The following is a 19129-nucleotide window of genomic DNA, read 5'->3' as shown; positions in this document are numbered from 1 at the left end:
GGACTGTGGGAAAGAGAGAAGACCCTGGGAAGGAGGGAAGACTGTGGGGAAGGATAGCAAGATTGTGGGAAAGTGAGCAGGACTGTGGGGAAGAGAGAGGAGGGCCCTGGGAAGGAAGGAGGACTGTGGAAAGGCGAGGTGGATGGTGGGAAAGAGGGAGGAGGACCCTAGGAAGGAGGACTGTGGGAAGGGGAGAAGGATCATGGGAAAGAGAGAGGAGGACCCTGGGAAGGAAGGAGTACTTTGGGAAGGTGAGGAGGACTGTGGGAAAGAGGGAGGAGGACCCTGGGAAGGAAGGAGGACTGTGGGAAGGGGCGGAAGACTGTGGGAAAGACAGAGGAGGACCCTGGGAAGGAAGGAGGACTGTGGGAAGGGGAGAAAGACCATGGGAAAGAGGTAGGGGGACCCTGGGAAGGAAGGAAGAATGTGGGAAGGCAAGGAGGACTGTGGGAAGGGGAGAAAGACCATGGGAAAGAGGTAGGGGGACCCTGGGAAGGAAGGAAGAATGTGGGAAGGCAAGAAGGACTGTGGGAAAGAGGGAGGAGGGCCCTGGGAAGGAGGGAGGACTGTGGGAAGGAGAGGAGGACCGTGGGAAGGAGAGGAGGACCATGGGAAAGAGAGAGGAGGAGCCTGGGAAGGAGAAGGGACTGCAGCATCAGCTCCAGTTTTGAGGGTAGGTCGTATTTTGAACACCTTTAATGTGTCTTGTTGGCCTAGTGTCACCTGATTTTAAACCACAAATCTACAGATTCAGAGAACTGAGTTGGAAGGCACTGAGAAAGCCTATGGAATTTGCTCATAGCATAGGGCTGGCGCGCTGTCAGTGACTGTGGAGGGAACCAGGGCAGGGAAATGCAGTGTAGGAACTGCCCACGCGAGAGCTGGAACCTGACCCTCCCCCTGCTCGGAGAGGACTCCTTGCTGTGAAATGGAGGTGATGTCTTGACCAGAAGGTCTCCGCATTGCCCCACCTGCTCTGCTTTGGGCTAGGCCAGTGTGGGCATGGCAGCAGGCTCCTGTCCTGTGGCTTCCCATGGGCTTTGGCTCAAGGGAAGCCCTGGTGGGAGATGGCAGGGAGGGATGCGAGTGAGATTGGGGGGCGGGGGGAGGCGGTTATCCCACCAACTCCCTGCTCATGTGGATTTTGGGCTGGCCGTGTCTCTCATGGGATGGGTGGCTGCTCCAGTCAGGCTCACCTTCCTCCTTACCCCTCTCTCCTCATTCCTTCAGGTCTGGGGGCTTCCTTGTTTCGAGTCCCTGGCTACCACCTTGGGCTTTCTTTATACCTCACCCACCCTGTGAAAGAGTATTAATCCCACTTGAGATTACCCTAATTCGAGTGGGCCATCTGTTTCCTTTTGAGAACCCGACTACCTCATCGGCCTGTTCAGAGGATTAAACCAGAGAATGCTGGAAATTGTTTAGCACAGTGGCCAGCCCCTCAGTGAGTGTGCCACAGTGCTGGTCACTGGGTGAGGGAATGGGTCCTCTCCTCTGGGCCTGAATTGCCCTGCGCTCACCTGCTCAGGTGTCCTCTAGTTTCAGCCGGAGCACTTCCAGGGAGGGGAAGACATGCTCTTGAGAGATGCTTGCTCTACCTAGGGCAGAAAGGATGTAGCAGGAGTGGCTGGGGCTGCGCTACTTGTAGCTGTCACATTTGGCAGAAAAAGAAACTTCTATTCTTTCAGATGGCTGAGTCTATTTTCAAGTCTTCACCCACTGGAAATGTTTTAGGCCTATTATTGAAAATTCAGTAGGTGGTTGCAGTGGAGTTAAACAATAACCAGGACTCTGTAGAGAATTCTAAAAGCTGAAAATGCATCTTTAAGTAATAGTAATCATATTGGCATAGGTGTGCACTTTTGAAAGTGGCTTTATGCATGTCCTATGTAGTGTAAGAATAATGTGTCCCCAGATGGAATTGGGTAGTTTTGTGGAATGTCTTTCTTTTTTTTTTTTTGGGATGGAGTTTTACCCTTGTTGTTGAGGCTGGAGTGCAATGGTGTGATCTCGGCTCACCGCAACCTCCACCTCCTGGGTTCAAGTGATTTTCCTGCCTCAGCCTCCCGAGTAGCTGTGATTACAGGCATGTGCCACCACGCCTGGCTGATTTTGTATTTTTAGTAGAGACGGGGTTTCTCCATGTTGGTCAGGCTGGTCTCGAACTCCCTACCTCAGGTGATCCGTCTGCCTCGGCCTCCCAAAGTGCTGGGATTACAGGTGTGAGCCACCACACCCGGTCAGGAATCCCATTTTTATACCCACATGCCTTTCTGTCCATGTTACCACTGTCAGAGAGCCTACCTTAAGCATTTTCTTTTCTTTTTTTTTTTTTTTTTGAGATGGGTTGCACTCTGTTGCCCAGGCTGGAGTGCAGTGGCATGTTCACAGCTTACTGTAGTGTCGATCTAGGCTCAAGTGATCCTCCCACCTCAGCCTCCTGACTAGCTGGGACTATAGGTGCACACCACCACACATGGCTAATTTTTGTATTTTTAGTGGAGATGGGGTTTTGCTATATTGCCCAGGCTGGTCTTGAACTTCTGGCCTCAAGTGATCCTCCCGCCTCGGCCTCCCAGAATACTGGGATTACAGGCGTGAGCCACCATGCCCTGCCAAACATTTTCTTGATTCATTTAGCAGATCCTTATTCAGTATCCCATTTGAGCGTGGTCCTCCAGAGTGTTGGGATTCGTATCCACCTTCATCTCAGTGCTGTCTCAGTCTCTCAAGAGAAAAATACCAGCCATTCCCCTGGTATACTGAGTAGCAGGCCATCCCATTGTTAAGAAGATACCTGTGCTTTGTCAGCTCTTGGGCTATTTTTCATTATGCAGAAATGTACCCAGCTAGGCCACATGCCTTTTTAGGTTTGTCTCTCTTTTATTTAGTTTGTCCTTATTTATTTATTGTAAATATGGAAGAAGAATCTTTTAAAATCTCCCTTCTCTTTCTTTTCTTTCTCTCTCTCCCCACCCATGTCTTTTTTTGAGACAGGGTCTCATTCTGTCACGTAGGCTGGAGTGCAGTGGCGTGATCACGGCTTACTGTAGCCTCAAACTCCTGGGCTCAAGCAATTCTCCCACCTCAGCCTCCTGAGTAGTTGAGACCACAGGTGTGAGCCACCACACCTGGCTAATTAAAAAAAAAAAAATTATGTAGAGACAGGGTCTCACTATGTTGCCTAGGCTGGTCTTGAACTCCTGGGCTCAAGCAGTCCTCTCACTTTGGCCTCCTAAAGTGTTGGGATTATAGGCATGAGCCACTATGCCTGGCCCCCACCCACTTATTTTGGAATACATTTTTCTTTATCCCTCCCCTTTACAAAAGTATTCATTTTTAAGGTGAAATTTATGTAGAGTAAAATGCATAAGTCATATGTCTATGGCTTGATGATTTTTTTTTTTTTGTTTCTACGTAAGTGCGTACCTCTATAACCACCACCCAGATCAATGCTATTTCTATCCCTCTAGAAAGTTCCAGCATGCCTATAAAAAGGAAGGGGGAAATGTCAGAGTCGTTGGAACCAGAGCAACTGCATCTTGAATAGGGGTTAGGTAAAATAAGGCTGAGACCTACTGGGCTGCATTCCTAGACAGTTAGGCATTCTAAGTCACAGGACGAGATAGGAGGTCAGCACGAGATACAGATCATAAAGACCTTGCTGATAAAACAGGTTGCAGTAAAGAAGCCGGCTAAAACCCACCAAAAACAAGATGGTGATGAGAGTGACCTCTGGTCATCCTCACTGCTACACTCCCAACGGTGCCATGACAGTTGACAGATGCCATGGTAATGACAGGAAGTTACCCTATACTGTCTAAAAAGGGGAGGAACTCGCAGTTCCGGGAATTGCCCACCCCTTTCTTGGAAAGCTCATGAATAATCCACCCCTTGTTTGGCATATAATCCAGAAATAACCATAAAAATGGGCAACCAGCAGCTCCAGGCAGCTCTCGGGGCTGCTCTGCCTGTGGAGTAGCCATTCTTTTATTCCTTTACTTTCTTCTTCTTCTTTTTTTTTTTTTTTTGAGACGGAGTGCAGTGGGGAGATCTCGGCTCACTACGACCTCTGCCTCCCGGGTTCAAGGGATTCTCTTGCTTCAGCCTCCCGAGTAGCTGGGACTACAGGTGCGTGCCACCATGCCCAGCTAATTTTTGTATTTTTAGTAGAGACAGGGTTTCACATGTTGGCCAGGACGATCTCAATCTCTTGACCTTGTGATCCGCCTGCCTCGGCCTCCCAAATTGCTGGGATTACAGGCATGAGCCACTGCGCCCAGCCCCTTTACTTTCTTAATAAATTTGCTTTCATTAAAGAAAAAAAAAAAAAGAACAGACAGTTCCACCAAGCCTTTTCCCAATGATTCCTCTCCCCCTAGGAAATTGATCATCATACATTAGTTTTGCCTGTACTAGAATTTTGTATAAATGGAGTCATACAATATATGTTCTTTTATATATGACTGGTGCACAACAAAATGTTTTTGCGTACATCGGTACTTTGTTCTTGCTGTGTAGTATCCCATTATGATGAATATCCCATAATTTGTTTAATATTTTGTTGATGGATATTTGGGTTGTTTCCAGTTTGAGGATTTTATTGATAGAGGCTCTGAACATTCTTGTATGTTGTCTTATGGACATTAGCACTAATTGCTCTTGCATATGCACACATGTAAGAGTGGAATTGCTGCTGTCACTGACTTTCAACCTGTAGATTTTTCTCTGTGTAAAGTTGTGGCTTCCATTGGGTGAGGGGAGGAGGTGCCATACCTGTGCCTGAAGCCTCATTTGCGCCACACTAGTCAATTTAGCTAATCAGCCTGAATCTTGTCATAATGTAGCCACCTATGAATATAACTGGTGAGGCGTCCTGATGCACAGAACCCAATCTCCCAGTGATGATTTGATTATTGGGCCCCAGGAACTGACAAAGACTGATTTTTAATTTATTTTTTTATTTTTTTTAGACAGTCTTGCTCTGCCACCCAGGCTGGAGTGCAGGGGTGGGATCATAGCTCACTGTAGCTTCAAACTCCTGGGCTCAAGTGATCCTCTTGCCACAGCCTCCCAAGTAGCTAGGACCACAGGTATATGCCACCTCACCTGGGTAATTATTTTGTATTTTTTGTATAGACGGGGTTTCACCATATTGCCCAGGCTGGTCTCCAACTCCTGCGCTCAAGTGATCCGCCCGCCTCAGCCTCCCAAAGTGCTGGGATTACAGGCGTGGGCCACCGTGCCTGGGCGGGTCTTGCTATGTTGTTCAGCTGGTCTTGAACTCCTGGGCTCAAGTGATCCTCCCGCCTTGGCCTGCCCAAGTGTTGGGATTACAAGTATGAGCCACTATGCCAGGCCTATTATATTGTTAAAAACATACAAAGAACATGTGTCAAAGTTTCGTTGAACTTATTTAATGAGGGAACTAGCAGAATAACAAAACAAGCTCAGTGAGGATATGAGGAACTCAGTGGAAAAAAAAAAAACCTCAGTGGAAAAAGGAATGTTCAAATAAGATTGCTAAGTTAGGTTCAAAACTGGTTCATGTCTTAGAGAACAATAAAATCTTTACCTTTGGGGTTATCATCTCTACCAGAAAAGAAAAAAGAGAAAACAGCATACCTTATCATTTTTCTACATTATCTTCTGACTTTTATAGGATTGTAAAATATCCTAGTAGTGTTAGTTAAATCAAGTTACATTTTCAGAGTCAGGTGACCCTCCTGGCGGGGGATGGGGGGGAGTGTTTATTAAAAATGCAATAGCATGACATTAAAAGGTCACATGATCATCTTTTTTGCCTAGTTTCTAAGTTTTGGGTTTTTTGTTTGTTTGTTTGTTTGTTTGTTTGTTTGTTTTTTTGTTTAACAGACCATGACAGACCATAATATGGGGTACAATAATAGGAAAAACTAGGATGATATCTTAAAGTCATTTAATGAAAAAAAAAAAAAAAAAAAAAAAAAAGACTGCACTTCTGGGACCTCAGACTGCTACCTAAAACAGAAAGCCAGTCACCTATTTCAGGTAGATGTGGACTCTTTCACAGGGGTTAATTTTCCCATGTTGGATTTAACTACCAGTATCTTCCTTTTAAAACCTTACCCTCAGATCCAGACAACATTGTTCTTTAGTCAAGCAAAGCATGTATAAGCAGCCTTTTCTTCTGAGTTCTCCTGGAAGGGACCCACAGCTATTCATTTTCAAATGAATTTTAAAAGAAAAAAAGCCTTGAAACTATAGCTCGGGCTGATGTGCATGTGTCTGCCTGCTCTTTTAGGGGACATTTGTCTGTTAGGGGACATTTGATAAAGTTCAACAGGACACAGGCCCTCAACATTTTGTAGCTCACAGATAGACATGTGGAAGGCAGGAAGCTATGATAGGGGTTAAAAGAATATGCTTGTTGATCTTTAAATTTATCTGACTCTGTCTGTGAGGAAGTAAGCTGTTTTCTCTGCCTGTTTTTGTATGTGTTCGGCAAAAGTACATTTTCCCCTCTGCCTGCCCAATTGTTGATGGGTGAAGTGTGTACACTTGCAGCTTGCATGTCCTATGTGTGCTGAGCATAACCATTCTCAGCTCACTTGCCGTGGCCTCAGCTTTCATTTGCTAGGTGTTTTAGATCTCTCTTTGGCACATTTAGAGCCCATTTTGATATTTGTTTAAAGTGGTTGGTGAATGTGGCTGTTCTTTTTTGATCCATGAGGCGAAAGGCCAGTATTTTGCCTAATTGTACCACTCCAAGATAAAGCTCACAGTTACTTTGTTCTTCTTGATTTATGAAGGGATCACAAATCTACTTCAACAAGTGTCATAAAGTAGAGATTTTCAGGTTACTGTTCTACATTCAAAGACCCTGACATGGACCTCTTTAATCATATTTCACTTTTCTTTAAACTTTAAACTCAAGGGCCATTAATTTTGTGAATTATATGGATGATTGTTTTCAAGATGTTTGTCTCTCTTCACAAGGTAGCAGTAATTTTTCTGGGTGTGTTATGTTATGTTATGTTATGTTATGTTATGTTATGTTATGTTATGTTATGTTATGTTATGTTATTTAGAGACAGTGTCTCCTTCCATAGCCTAGGCTGGAGTGTAGTGGTATGATCATGGCTCACTGCAGCCTCAACCTCCCAGGCTCAGGTGATTCTACCACCTCAGCCTCCCGAGTAACTGGGACTATACACATGTAACCACCTAACCTGTTTTTTTTTTTTAAATTTTTTGTAGAGATGGGGGTATCACTATGTTGCCCACGCTGGTTGCCCTCCTGGGCTCAAGTGATCCTTTCGCTTTGGCCTCCCAAAATGCCAGGGTTATAGGCAGGAGCCACCGTGCCCTGTCCAGGTATGTATTATAATGTGCAGAGCCTCATCTTGCTCACAACATTTAGTCCTGGTGTCCTTGGGCATGTGGGCATCTGCTGTGTGTTAGGCACCAGAGGATATAAACTCAAATGAGATGGACTGAATGGAATATTGTCACAAATGTAACTTCTAGAGGATGATAGTTTTAGCTCCTATGACCTGCCTTTGGGAATTCTGTGCTTTAAACATTGTTCTACAAAGATATTCTGTAAAGATGTTCTGGATTAAAATGCCACTTGAGAAGTTTCTGGCTGAATTCATCCAGCAACTGTTAGAATGTGCTAAATGAACCTACAGTTAGCTTTTTGGCCCTGATGGCTGTGTTACTTTATGGAGTAATAATGGCTGCATTCTATTCAAGGCTTACTGGCTGCCTGGCATTGTATGTATAATCTACCCATGTCTGTCTGTGTACAGTGACTAAAATTTGTTGAGCCCTTACTGTATGCCAGGTAGGAAGGAGGCCAAGCCCTTTCCATGTTTTTTTGTTTGTTTGTTTTTTGAGATTGAGTCTCACTCTGTCACCCAGGCTGGAATGCAGTGGTGCAATCTGGGCTCATTGCAACCTCCACCTCCCAGGTTCAAACAGCTCTCGTGCCTCAGCCTCTGGAGTAGCTGGGATTACAGGCGTGCACCACCACGCCTGGCTGATATTTGTATTTTTAGTAGAGATAGGGTTTTGCCATCTTGGCCAGTCTGGTCTCAAATTCCTGGTCTCAAGCAATCCACCTGCCTCAGCCTCCCAAAGTGCCGGGACTACAGGCATGAACCACCGTGCCCAGCCCCTTTCCATGCTTTTTTATCTCATCAAATTCTTCTACCACTCTATGACAGGTAACTGAGGCATATCAGTGTTAAAAGCCATACTCACAGTCACACAAACTAGTGAGGAGCAAAGAGAGCATTAGAATCTAGGCCAACCAGCTCTGCAACCTGAGCTCAAGCGGGCAGCATTATCTGGGTGTCTGAATTGTCCTGACAGGACTGTGCTCCTCACCATTATTGTCTGCTGTATTATGCCTTCCCCAAGTGTCCATTCAGGTGGAATCATGGTATTTAACTTATTTCTGTCTGCATTTTAAATAATTCTCTTCAAAAGTTGGCCCTTTCAACTCAAAAGAACAACCTTTGCCTGGATTTATGGGCTTGTGTTGTTTTTTCCTACAAATTCTGAAATTAAGGCAATTAGGGAAAATATTTCGTTATTATTAATTTGTAAGCACACGTTGTTTTGCAGTGTTCAGCAGGCTATGCTTTCTAGGAGTTTGACTGTCTTTTCTATCAGTGGTAAATAATCAAGATGTGTGACTATCCAATTGTTCCCCATCCACGGGGCCCTCAAAACCAACCAATTCCAGCTCAAATTATTCTTGAAACTTTAAACATACAGTTTTCTTTCAGAAAAACAATTTCTAAAACTAACAACTGGAACCTGTTAGATTCTGTTGTGAGAAATGTTATTCCAAGTAGGGTCTGGAGTAATTAAGTACAAGTGTGTTACCAATAAGAACCCACATCATTTGGTGGTTTCTTCAGGCTTTGTAACTGTTGTAGTGCAGAAAATGTGGTGGAGGGGGGCGGTCTTGTGACTCAGGGAGAGCTGTGACCTCAGTGAGTTTTAATCGCCTGACTGAGTTGATCGTGGTGATTATGCATAATGGAATCTTATTTTCTTAATGGCAAGATTATCGAATCTTAGCTTGGAAAGGGACTTTAAGATCATGTGTTTTAACCCTTAGCTTTCTACCAGATCAAAATCTAAACCATCTGAGATATCACCGTGATCATTACTGGATATTTAAACTTGTTAAGCTTGGGGCTCCCACAGCGACTCCATGTCAGTGTGTCTCTAACCTGGTCCTGCTCCAGGTGCACTACGTCATCAGAATTTTGTTTTGGGGGCAGGAGTAGGGATAGAAGCCTTAGAATCTTTTAAAAAGTTCAGGTGATTCTGCTGCTTGATCTAAAGCTTGGGCATTCATTTTGCACAATGGTACCGATAGGGCAGTACCATGTTTTTAATTCTAGTTTCTTTTCTCAAGAACATGAATTGGTAGCTGGTGACTTCAATTAGAAAATATTTTCATCTTATTTCTAAAGTAGCTTTATGGATAAAGTATTAATAGCTATATTAGTGAATATGTAAGTAAACACAATCATGCTGGAAATTATTGTAAAAGTTTACTACAAATACACAAAGAACATAGTGCTATGTAAACAGTGCTTGATTTAAGTCCATTAGAATTAATACATTCTGGCTGGGTGTGGTGGCTAACACCTGTAATCCCAGGACTTTGGGAGGCCAAGGCGGGCGAATCACTTGAGGTCAGAAGTTCGAGACCAGACTGGCCAACATGATGAAACCTGTCTCTACTAAAAATACAAAAAGTAGCCAGGCGTGGTGGTCCATGCCTGTAGTCCCAGCTACTCAGAGGCTGAGGCACAAAAATCGCTTGAACCTGGGAGGCAGAGGTTGCAGTGAGCCGAGATTGTGGCACTGCACTCCAGCCTGGGCAACAGAGTGAGACTATCTCAAAAAACAAAAAAAACCAAAGAGAATTAATACATTCTAATTGCGGAACTTCTGTACTCAGTGATTCTCCATCCCACTCTATACCTGGTGGTAGTGAGATAGGCACAATTTCTAGCAATGGTCCTCAAGATTCTACTCTTAAGTCCCCACAACTTCTACATGTGATGAGCTATCACTCCAGTGATTTTGTTATGTTATATGGCACAATTGATCTTTAAACAGGGAGGTGATCCAGGTGGGCCTAACATGAGTCCTTAAGAGCAGAGAACTTTCTCCTGTCTAGTGGCAGAAGAGAAAGTCAGAGGAGGACTTGCTGCTTTGAAGAGGGAGGGGTCATGTAAGAAGGAAATGGGCAGCCTATAGGAGCAGAGAGTAGACCTTGGCTGGCAGCCAGGAAAGAAATGGAGACCTCAGACCTACGGCCGCAAGGTGCTGGATTGTGCCAACAACCTGAGTGAATTTGGAAGTGGGTTATTCTTCCAAGCCGCCAGATAAAAGTCTAGCCTATTCACATCTTGATATTGGCCTGTGAGACCTTGAGTGAACAAAGAATCCAGTTGAGCCTATCGGGACTTTTGACCTACAGAACTGTGAGATAAAAAATGGGTGTCGTTTTAGATAACCCATGGCAGCATTCCCTCCTCTGCTGGAATGTCGTCAGTGGAGACTGACTGGGGATTCTGGACTTCCATCCCCATCCTCCCACTCAGCAGTGGTAGGCAGCTCCCCCTCCCCACTAGAGAATGGGGAAAATCTTGGAGAGGAGGGAGCTGAAGAAAGGAATTAATTAAAGGAATATTCCCTGCCTGCATTGGAAGTCCTGGGCAAACAACTCCTAACCCACCTGCATGTGAATCTGACTAGAACAAACATGCCAAAAAGTTTAGCAATAGAAACTTTAACACAGAATATCACCCAGGTTTTCAGAATGACCTCTAAGTAACAGAGATGAAGCAGACCAGAATAGTACTGCAAGGGCTCTGAAATCAAACTATCGTTAAAACTGCAGCCAACGAAAATAGCCCAGGATGTGCGTACTTAGCCTCAATAGGGTTAATGCCAGCTAAAATTTAAATAGTATCTAGAGTCTTGTAAGATAATAACCCAAGTGCCCAAGGTACAATTTAAACAATCACTTGTCATACCAAGAACCAGGAAAATCACAACTCGAATGAGAAAAGCCAATCAACAGATATTAATACTGAGAAGACTCAGATGTTGGAATTATCTGACAAAGGTTTTAAAGCATCTGTCATAAAATTGCCTTAATAAGCAATTCCAAACACTCTTGAAACAAATGAAAAATTAGAAAATCTCAGCAAATCAATAGGTTTTTTAAAAATGGAAGTTATTGAACCAAAAAATAAACAAGTTAAAAAGCTCACCAGATGAGCTCAATAATAGATGACAGAGGAAAGAATCAGTGAACTTGAAAATAGATCAATGAAACTTACTTAGTCTGAACAACAGATAGAAAATAGTCTGTAAAAAATGAACAGAGCCTTAGAGGCCTATGGGATAATAACATCAGATCTAACATTTGGGTCATCAGAATTCCAGAAGGAGAAAAGAAGGTTATGATAATAAACAATATTGAACGAAATGATGACTGAAAACTCACCACATTTGGCAAAAAGCATAAATCTTCAGAATTCAGAAGCTGAGCAAAACCTAAACAGGATAAACCTAGAGAAATCTATGCCAAGATACATACTAATCAAGCTTCTAAAAATGAAAGGCAAAGAAAATGCAGCAAGAGAGACATGACATATACTTACAAGGAAGAATGATTTGAATGACAATGAATTTCTCCTGTAAAATAATGGAGTCCAGAAGGAAGTGTACAACATTTTCATGGGCTGAAAGAAAAGAAAGATTAACTCTGAATTCTTTGTCTGGTGAAAATATCCTTAAGGAATGAAGAGAAAATGAAAACATTCTCAGATGAAGGAACACTAAGAGAATTTATCAATAGCAGACCTATCCTTAAATAATGCCTAAAGAAAGTTTTTTAGGCTGGGCACGGTGGCTCACGCCGGTAATCCCAGCACTTTGGGAGGTTGAGATGGGCGGATCACAAGGTCAGGAGATGGAGACCATCCTGGCTAACACGGTGAAACCCCATCTCTACTAAAAATACAAAAAAATTAGCCAGGCATAGTGGCGGCCGCCTGTAGTCCCAGCTACTCGGGAGGCTGAGGCAGGAGAATGGCGTGAACCTGGGAGGGGGAGCTTGCAGTGATCCGAGATCATGCCACTGCACTCCAGCCTGGGCGACAGAGTGAGACTCCATCTCAGAAAAAAAAAAGTTTTTTAAACATAAAAGAAATGGTAACAGAAGAAACTTTGGAATTTCAGAAAGGAGAAAATAGCAAATGGGTAAAAATAGGGAGTATGTATAGTAGGCCAAGTATAGGGTATGTGTCATTAATTTTTTTCTGTTGTTGTTGTTGAGACGGAATCTTGCTCTGTTGTCCAGGCTGGAGTGTAGTGGCACATTCTTGGCTCACTGCAATCTCTGCCTCTCAGGTTCAAGTGATTATCTTGCCTCAGTCTCCTGAGTAGCTGGGATTACAGATGTGCACCACCATGCCTGGCTAATTTTTGTATTTTTAGTAGAGACGGGGTTTCACCATGATGGCCAGGCTGGTGTCAAACTCCTGGCATCAGGTAATCCACCCGCCTTGGCCTCCCAAAGTGCTGGGATTACAGGTGTGAGCCACTGTGCCCGGCTTGTATCATTAATTTTTAAAAACATGTTTGATGGTTGAAGCAAAAATTAGATCATCTGGTGTGGTATCCAATATATATTGAGGTAATATGCAAGAAAATTATATTTAAGAGGTGGGGAGGATGTAAAAGAACCTAACTGGAAGTAAGGTTTTTACACTTCACTGAAATAGGAAAATGTTGATCGAAGTAGTCTGTGACAAGTTACATATGTATATTGTAATAACTAAAATACTCTAAAAATCACTAAAAGTATAACTGTACAAAGAGATATACTAAAACTGCCTATATATAAAAGGAAATTCTAAAGAATGTACAAGTAACCCACAGGAAGACAAGAAAAAGGAAACAATGAAAAACAGAGTGAACAAACAGAAAACAAATAATACAATGGCAGGTGTAAGTCCTAACATGTCAATATGTGTTTTAAATATACCAATTAAAAAACAGAGATGATAGATAAAAAAAAAAACTTGACTCAACTATATGCTGTTTGTAAGAAACTCACTTCAAATATATTGATATAGGCACGTTGGAAGTAAAAGTTGGAAAATACATACTATGCAAGTATTAATTTTAAAAAAGCAGGAGTGGCTACATATAATATCAGATAGGGTAGACCAGAGAGCAAAGAAAATTACCAGGGACAAAGAAGGACATTACACAATGATAAAAGTGTCATTCCACCAAGAAGACGTAGCAGTCCTAAATGTGTATGGGCCAAGCAACAGAGCTGCAACATATATGGAGCAAAAACTGATAGAACTAGAAAATAGACAAGTACACAGTTATAGTTGGCAACTTAGCATCTCTTTCTCAGCACTTGACAGAATTACTAAACAGAAAATCAGCAAGGGTATAGAAGGCCTGAACAACATAATCAACCAAGAAGTTGTAATTGATGTTTACAGAATATCCTACACAGAAACAGCACAAAACACATTTTTTTCAAGTACCCATGAAATATCTGCCAAGTTAAACCATATCCTGGGTCATAAAACTAACCTCAATATATTTAAGGGAATTGAGATAATAAAAAAGGTGTTCTTTGACCATAAGTAATTAAGCTAGAAGTCAGTAATGGAAAGATCAGAAAATCTCCAAACACTTGGAAATCAAATCACACACTTCTAAATAATCCACAGGTCAAAGAAGAAGTCTCAAAAAGATTAAACAAACACATAGAACTGAATGAAAATGAACATACAACATATTAAAATGTGTGGGACCCAGCTAAAGCAGTACTGAGAGGAAAATTTATAGCACTAAAGTTTACATTAGAATGGAGGAATGTTCTCAGATCAATAATCTAAGGTCCTACCTCAAGAAACTAGAAAAAGTGAAATAAACCGAAAACAACCAGAAGAAGGAAATAATGAAGATAAGAGCAGTAATCATTGAAGGTGAAAACAGAAAAACAACAGAGAATATCAATGAAAAAGCCAGTTCTTTAAAGACCAATAGGCTGGGTACAGTGGCTCATGTTTGAAATCCCAGCATTTTGGGAAGCGGGAGTGGGAGGATCACTTGAGCCCAGGACTTTGAGACCAGCCTGGGCAGCATAGCAAGACACTATCTCGCCAATCAAAAAATAATAATAATAATCAAAAAATTAGCTGGACGTGGTGGTGCATGCCTGTGGTCCCAGCTACTCAAAAGGCTGAGGTGGGAGGATTACTTAAGCCTGGGAGGTTGAGGCTGCAGTGAGCTGTGATTGTGCCACTGCACTCCAGCCTGGGTGACAGAATATGATCCTATTTCAAAATAAATAAATAAAAAGATCAATAAAATGGGTAAACCTCTAAGAAGACAGGCAAAGATGAAAAAGACACAAATTAGCATAGTAGGAATAAAACAGGTGATATCATTACAGATTCTGCAGCTATTAAAGGGACAATAAGCGAATACTAAATTATATGTACATACATTTGACAACTTAGATGAAATGAACCAATTCCCTGAAAACTACAAACTACCAAAACTTACCCAAAGTGAAATAATGTCAATAGTCCTATAACTAACTGTTAAAGAAATTGAATTTGTCATGTAAAAGCTTCCAAAAAAGAAATCTCCAGGCCTAGAGGTTTTTCGTCATAATTTCCACCAAACATTTAAAGAATTAGCACCAATTCTGCATAATCTTTTCGAGAAAATAGAAGAGGAGGGAATGTGTCCCAATTCATTTTATGAGGCCAGTATTACCTTAATACCAAAACCAGATAGTGCAACAAAGAAAACTGCAGGCCAGTGTCCCTCAAGAACATAGACACAAAAGTCCTCAGCAAAGTATTAGCAAAACAATCCAGCAACTTATAAAAAAAATTATATACTATGACCAAGTGGGGTTTATTCCAGATGTGCAAGGCCACTTCAGTGTTTGGAAATCAATCAGTGTAATCCATGATATCAACACGCTATGGGAGAAAAAATCAAATCGCATAATCAGATCAATTGATGAAAAAAATTGACAAAATTCAACGCCATTCATGATAAAAACTCTCAGCAAACTAGGAATAGAGAGGAATTCCCCCAACTTGATAAAGAGCATCTACAAAAATGCTGCAGTTAGCACCATATTTAATGGTGAAAGACTGTATACTCTCCCCCTGAGAATGGGGAAATAAGGTAAGAATGTCTGCTCTTACCAGTCTCATTCAACGTAATACTGGAAGTCCTAGCTAGAGCAACTAGTTGAGAAAAAAATAAAAGACATATGAATTGGAAAGGAAGAATAACATCTTATTTGCAGATGACGTGATTCTCCAGTAGAACATCCCAAGAATTTACCAAGTAACTCCTAGAATAAGTGAGTGCAGTAAGGTCACAGGATATAAGATCAAACACACAATTTAATATTTCTAGATACTAGCAATGAACATATGGAAACTGAAATTAAAAACACAATGCCATGTACAGTCTCTCCCAAAAGAATTGAAATACAGTTATGCATTGCTGAACAACAGGGATATGTTCTCAGAAATGCATTGTAAGGTGATTTTGTTGTTGTGTGAACATCATAGAGTAGTATACTTATACAAACGTAGGTGATATAGCCTACTACACACCTAGCCATATTGTATGGCCTATCACTCCTAGGCTACAAACCTGCACAGCATGTTACTGTAGGCAGTTACGACACAATGGTAAGTAGTTGCATATCTAAACATATCTAAATATTGGCTGGGCACTGTGGCTCACACCTGTAATCCCAGCATTTTGGGAGGCCAAGGTGGGTGGATCACTTGAGGTGAGGAGTTCGAGACCAGCCTGGCCAACATGGTGAAACCCTGTCTCTACTAAAAATACAAAAATGAGCTGGGCATGGTTGCCTGTGCCTGTAATCCCAGCAACTCAGGAGGCTGAGGCACGATAATCGCTTGAACCTGGGAGACGGAGGTTGCAGTGAGCTGAGATCTCACCACTGTACTCCAGCCTGGGCAACAGAGCAATACTGTCTCAAAAAAACAAAAACAAAACCATATATAAATATAAAAAATGTACTTAATACAATAGAAGTATGGTATTATAATCTTATGGGGACCATTGACGTATATGTTGTCTATTATTGACAAAAACAATGTTATGTAGCATATGACTATACTTAGGTATAAACTTAACATGTACAGGATGTGCATGCTGAAAACAACAAAATGTTGTTAATAGTATTCAAAGAAGATCTAAATAAATGGAGAGACATACCATATTCATGGACTGGAGTCAGTGTGGTTAAGATGTTGATTCCCCCAAATTAACCTGTAGATCTAATGCAATTTCTATCAAAATTCCAGCAAGATTTTTTTTTGTAGCTATAGACTAGTTTATTTTAAGATTTATAAAAGAAATCAGGAGAACTACAATAGTCAAAACATTTTGAAAACAATTTTGAAAAAGAAGAGCAAAATAGGAATCTACCCAATTTTATGAGTTAACTTTAATAGTTATAGTAATCAAGACAGTCTAGTATTGACACAGGAATACACATATAGATAAAGGAACGGACTAGAGAACCCAGAAATAAACCTACACAAATATGCCCAAGTGACTTTTTGACAAAAGGGCAAAAGCAATTCAATGGAGGAAGGATAGCCTTTTCAACAAATGATACTGGAGTATTTGGACATCCATAGACAAAAAAAGTGAAACTCGGCCTAAATCTAACATCTTATTAAAAAATTAACTCAAAACGGATCATGGATTTAAATGTAAAACATAAAACTATAAAAGTGTTAGAATTAAACATAGGCAAACATTTTGGGGACCTAGGCCTAGGTGAAGAGTTCTTAGATATCATACCAAAAACAAAATCTTTTTTGTTTTTGCTCCGTTGCCCAGGCTAGAGTGCAGTGGCACAGTCTCAGCTCACTGCAGCCTCGACCTCCCAGGCTCAAGTGCTCCTTGTGCCTCAGCCTCCCAAGTAGCTGGAACTACAGGTGTGAGCCACCACGCCTGGCTAATTTTTTGTATTTTTTGTAGAGATGGAGTCTCCCTATGTTGCCCAGGCTGGTCTCAAACTCCTAGACTCAAGTAATCCACTGCCTTGGCCTCCCAAAGTACTGGGATTACAAGTGTGAGCCACCACACCTGGCCAACACAATCTATTAAATAAAAAAAGATCAATTAGACTTCATCAAAATGTGAAGAGGATGAAAAGATAGGTTACAGACTGGGAGGAAATATTTGCAAACCACATGTCTGACAAAGGACTTGTATCTAGAATGTGTAGAGCTCTCAAAATGCAACAGTAAGAAACCAAAACAATCTAATGAAAATGGGTGAAATACACGAACAGACATTCACTGAAGAGAGTATGCAGATGTAAAATAAGCACATGAAAAGATGTCCAACATCATTAGTCATTAGAGGAATGCAAATTAAAACCACAACAAGAAATTACTATGTATCTATTAGAATGGCCATTAGGATGGCTAAATTAAAAATGGTGATAACACCAAATGCTGGCAAGGTTGCAGAGAAACTGGTTCTCTCATATATTGATGGTGGGAATGAAAAGTGGTTCAGTCAGTTTGGAAAATAGTTTGGCAGTTTGTTATAGAACTATGTGCTTCCCATAGGATGCAGCAGTTATACTTTTGGACACTCATCCCAGAGAAATAAAAACTTAAGTTCACAGAAAAACCTGTACACAGATGTTCATAGCAGCTTTATTTGTAATAATTGCAAATTGGAAATATCTTGAATTGTCTTTGAGTGGATGAATGGTTAAACAAGTTCCGGTCCAACCATACCATGGAATACTACTCAGCAATAAAACAGAATGAACTCGGATACACACAACAACTTAGATAGATCTCAGGGGCATCGTGCTGTGTGAACAAAGCCAACCTAAGATGTTACACACTGTATGATTTCATTTATATTACATTCTCAAAATGACAAAGCTATAGACTTGGAGAGCAGATTACTGGATGCCAAGGGACAATGACAGGGTGTGGGGAAGACTGGTACCACAATAAAGGGGTAGCATGAGGGAGTTCCTTTTGAAGATGGAATAGTTCTGTATCTTGACTGTATATTGATTGTGATCCAGTGTGTAGATTTGTGCAAATCTACACATTGGATCAAGTTGCAAAGAGTTACACACAAATCAGTGTATGGAATGACTGATGAAAACGGAATAAGGTCTGTAGTGAACAGTATTGTACCAATGTCAATTTTTTTGTTTTGATATTGTACTATAGTCATATATCATCACTGAGGGAAGCTAAGTGAAGGGTTTATGGGACTCCATGCACCGTTTTTGTAAGTTCTTGTGAGTAGATAATTACTTCAAAATAAAAATTAAAAAAAATCTCCAATGGGTCTCAACCTTGGCAGCACACAAGTATCGCCCAAGGAGCTTTAAAAATCCCGATGCCCAGGCTGCATCTTAGTCTCATCTTTATCTCTGATTGTGAGTCTCAGCATTAGTATTTTTTAGGATTTCTAACTCTTGTCCTTGTTGTTTTCCATTAAATTAAAAAAATAATAACCACCACCAGGACCATACCACTTTCCCATACACTGCAGTTCTCCAGCTCTTTGTGGGTGATGGGTGATGGGTGACAGATTACAGGTGTTTCAGTTCTTTCTCAGGAGGTCAGACTCTGTCATCCTGTTGTCATGTCTGAGGCTGGGATTTGGGGAAGCCCCACCCCCAGCTTTGAGCAGGTCCAAGGAGGCATTATCACTTGGCCTGTCTGTGGTTGGCCTGGAGACTGGAGGGCCAATGACAGAAGTAGAGTTGGGAGGAGAAAAGAAGGATGGAGGAAGAGAGAAGTGGGGGTGGAGTGTGAGAGGATGTGGGCCTCAGAGACCCTGTTGAGCCTCACCCTGGGCCTAGTCTCTTGGAGCAAGCATGTTTGAGGAGGAGAAAGAAGGGGAGGGGAAGATGAATGTTGGGGATGGGATTGCAATTTATGATAGGGAGGCCAGGAAAGGCCTCATGAAAAAGGTGATTTAAGTCAAGACTTGAGGATGTGAGGAAGAACTT

The 19129-nt window shown here is 41.7% G+C and overlaps 1 protein-coding gene across 18 annotated transcripts in view; it reads left to right on the top strand.

Moving 5' to 3' along the window:
- Positions 1 to 19129, top strand: part of SH3KBP1 (SH3 domain containing kinase binding protein 1) — a 353624-nt gene that overhangs the window by 53849 nt on the left and 280646 nt on the right. For 5 of the 18 annotated variants that reach the window (XM_047442044.1, NM_001353894.2, NM_001353893.2 and 2 more), the window contains exon 1: positions 601 to 673. The exons of 12 other annotated variants lie outside the window; for them this stretch is intronic. The gene's annotated coding sequence lies outside the window, so the exon portion shown is untranslated. Of the gene's footprint in view, positions 1 to 600; positions 674 to 19129 lie in introns of those variants that run through there. One more of the 18 variants, NM_001410758.1, reaches the window with a different exon arrangement.

Source organism: Homo sapiens, chromosome X (genome assembly GCF_000001405.40).
Source record: "Homo sapiens chromosome X, GRCh38.p14 Primary Assembly".
Classification (NCBI taxonomy): domain Eukaryota; kingdom Metazoa; phylum Chordata; class Mammalia; order Primates; family Hominidae; genus Homo; species Homo sapiens.
The sequence above is the reverse complement of the archived record's forward strand: the minus strand, read 5'-3'. Positions and strand labels throughout refer to the sequence as shown.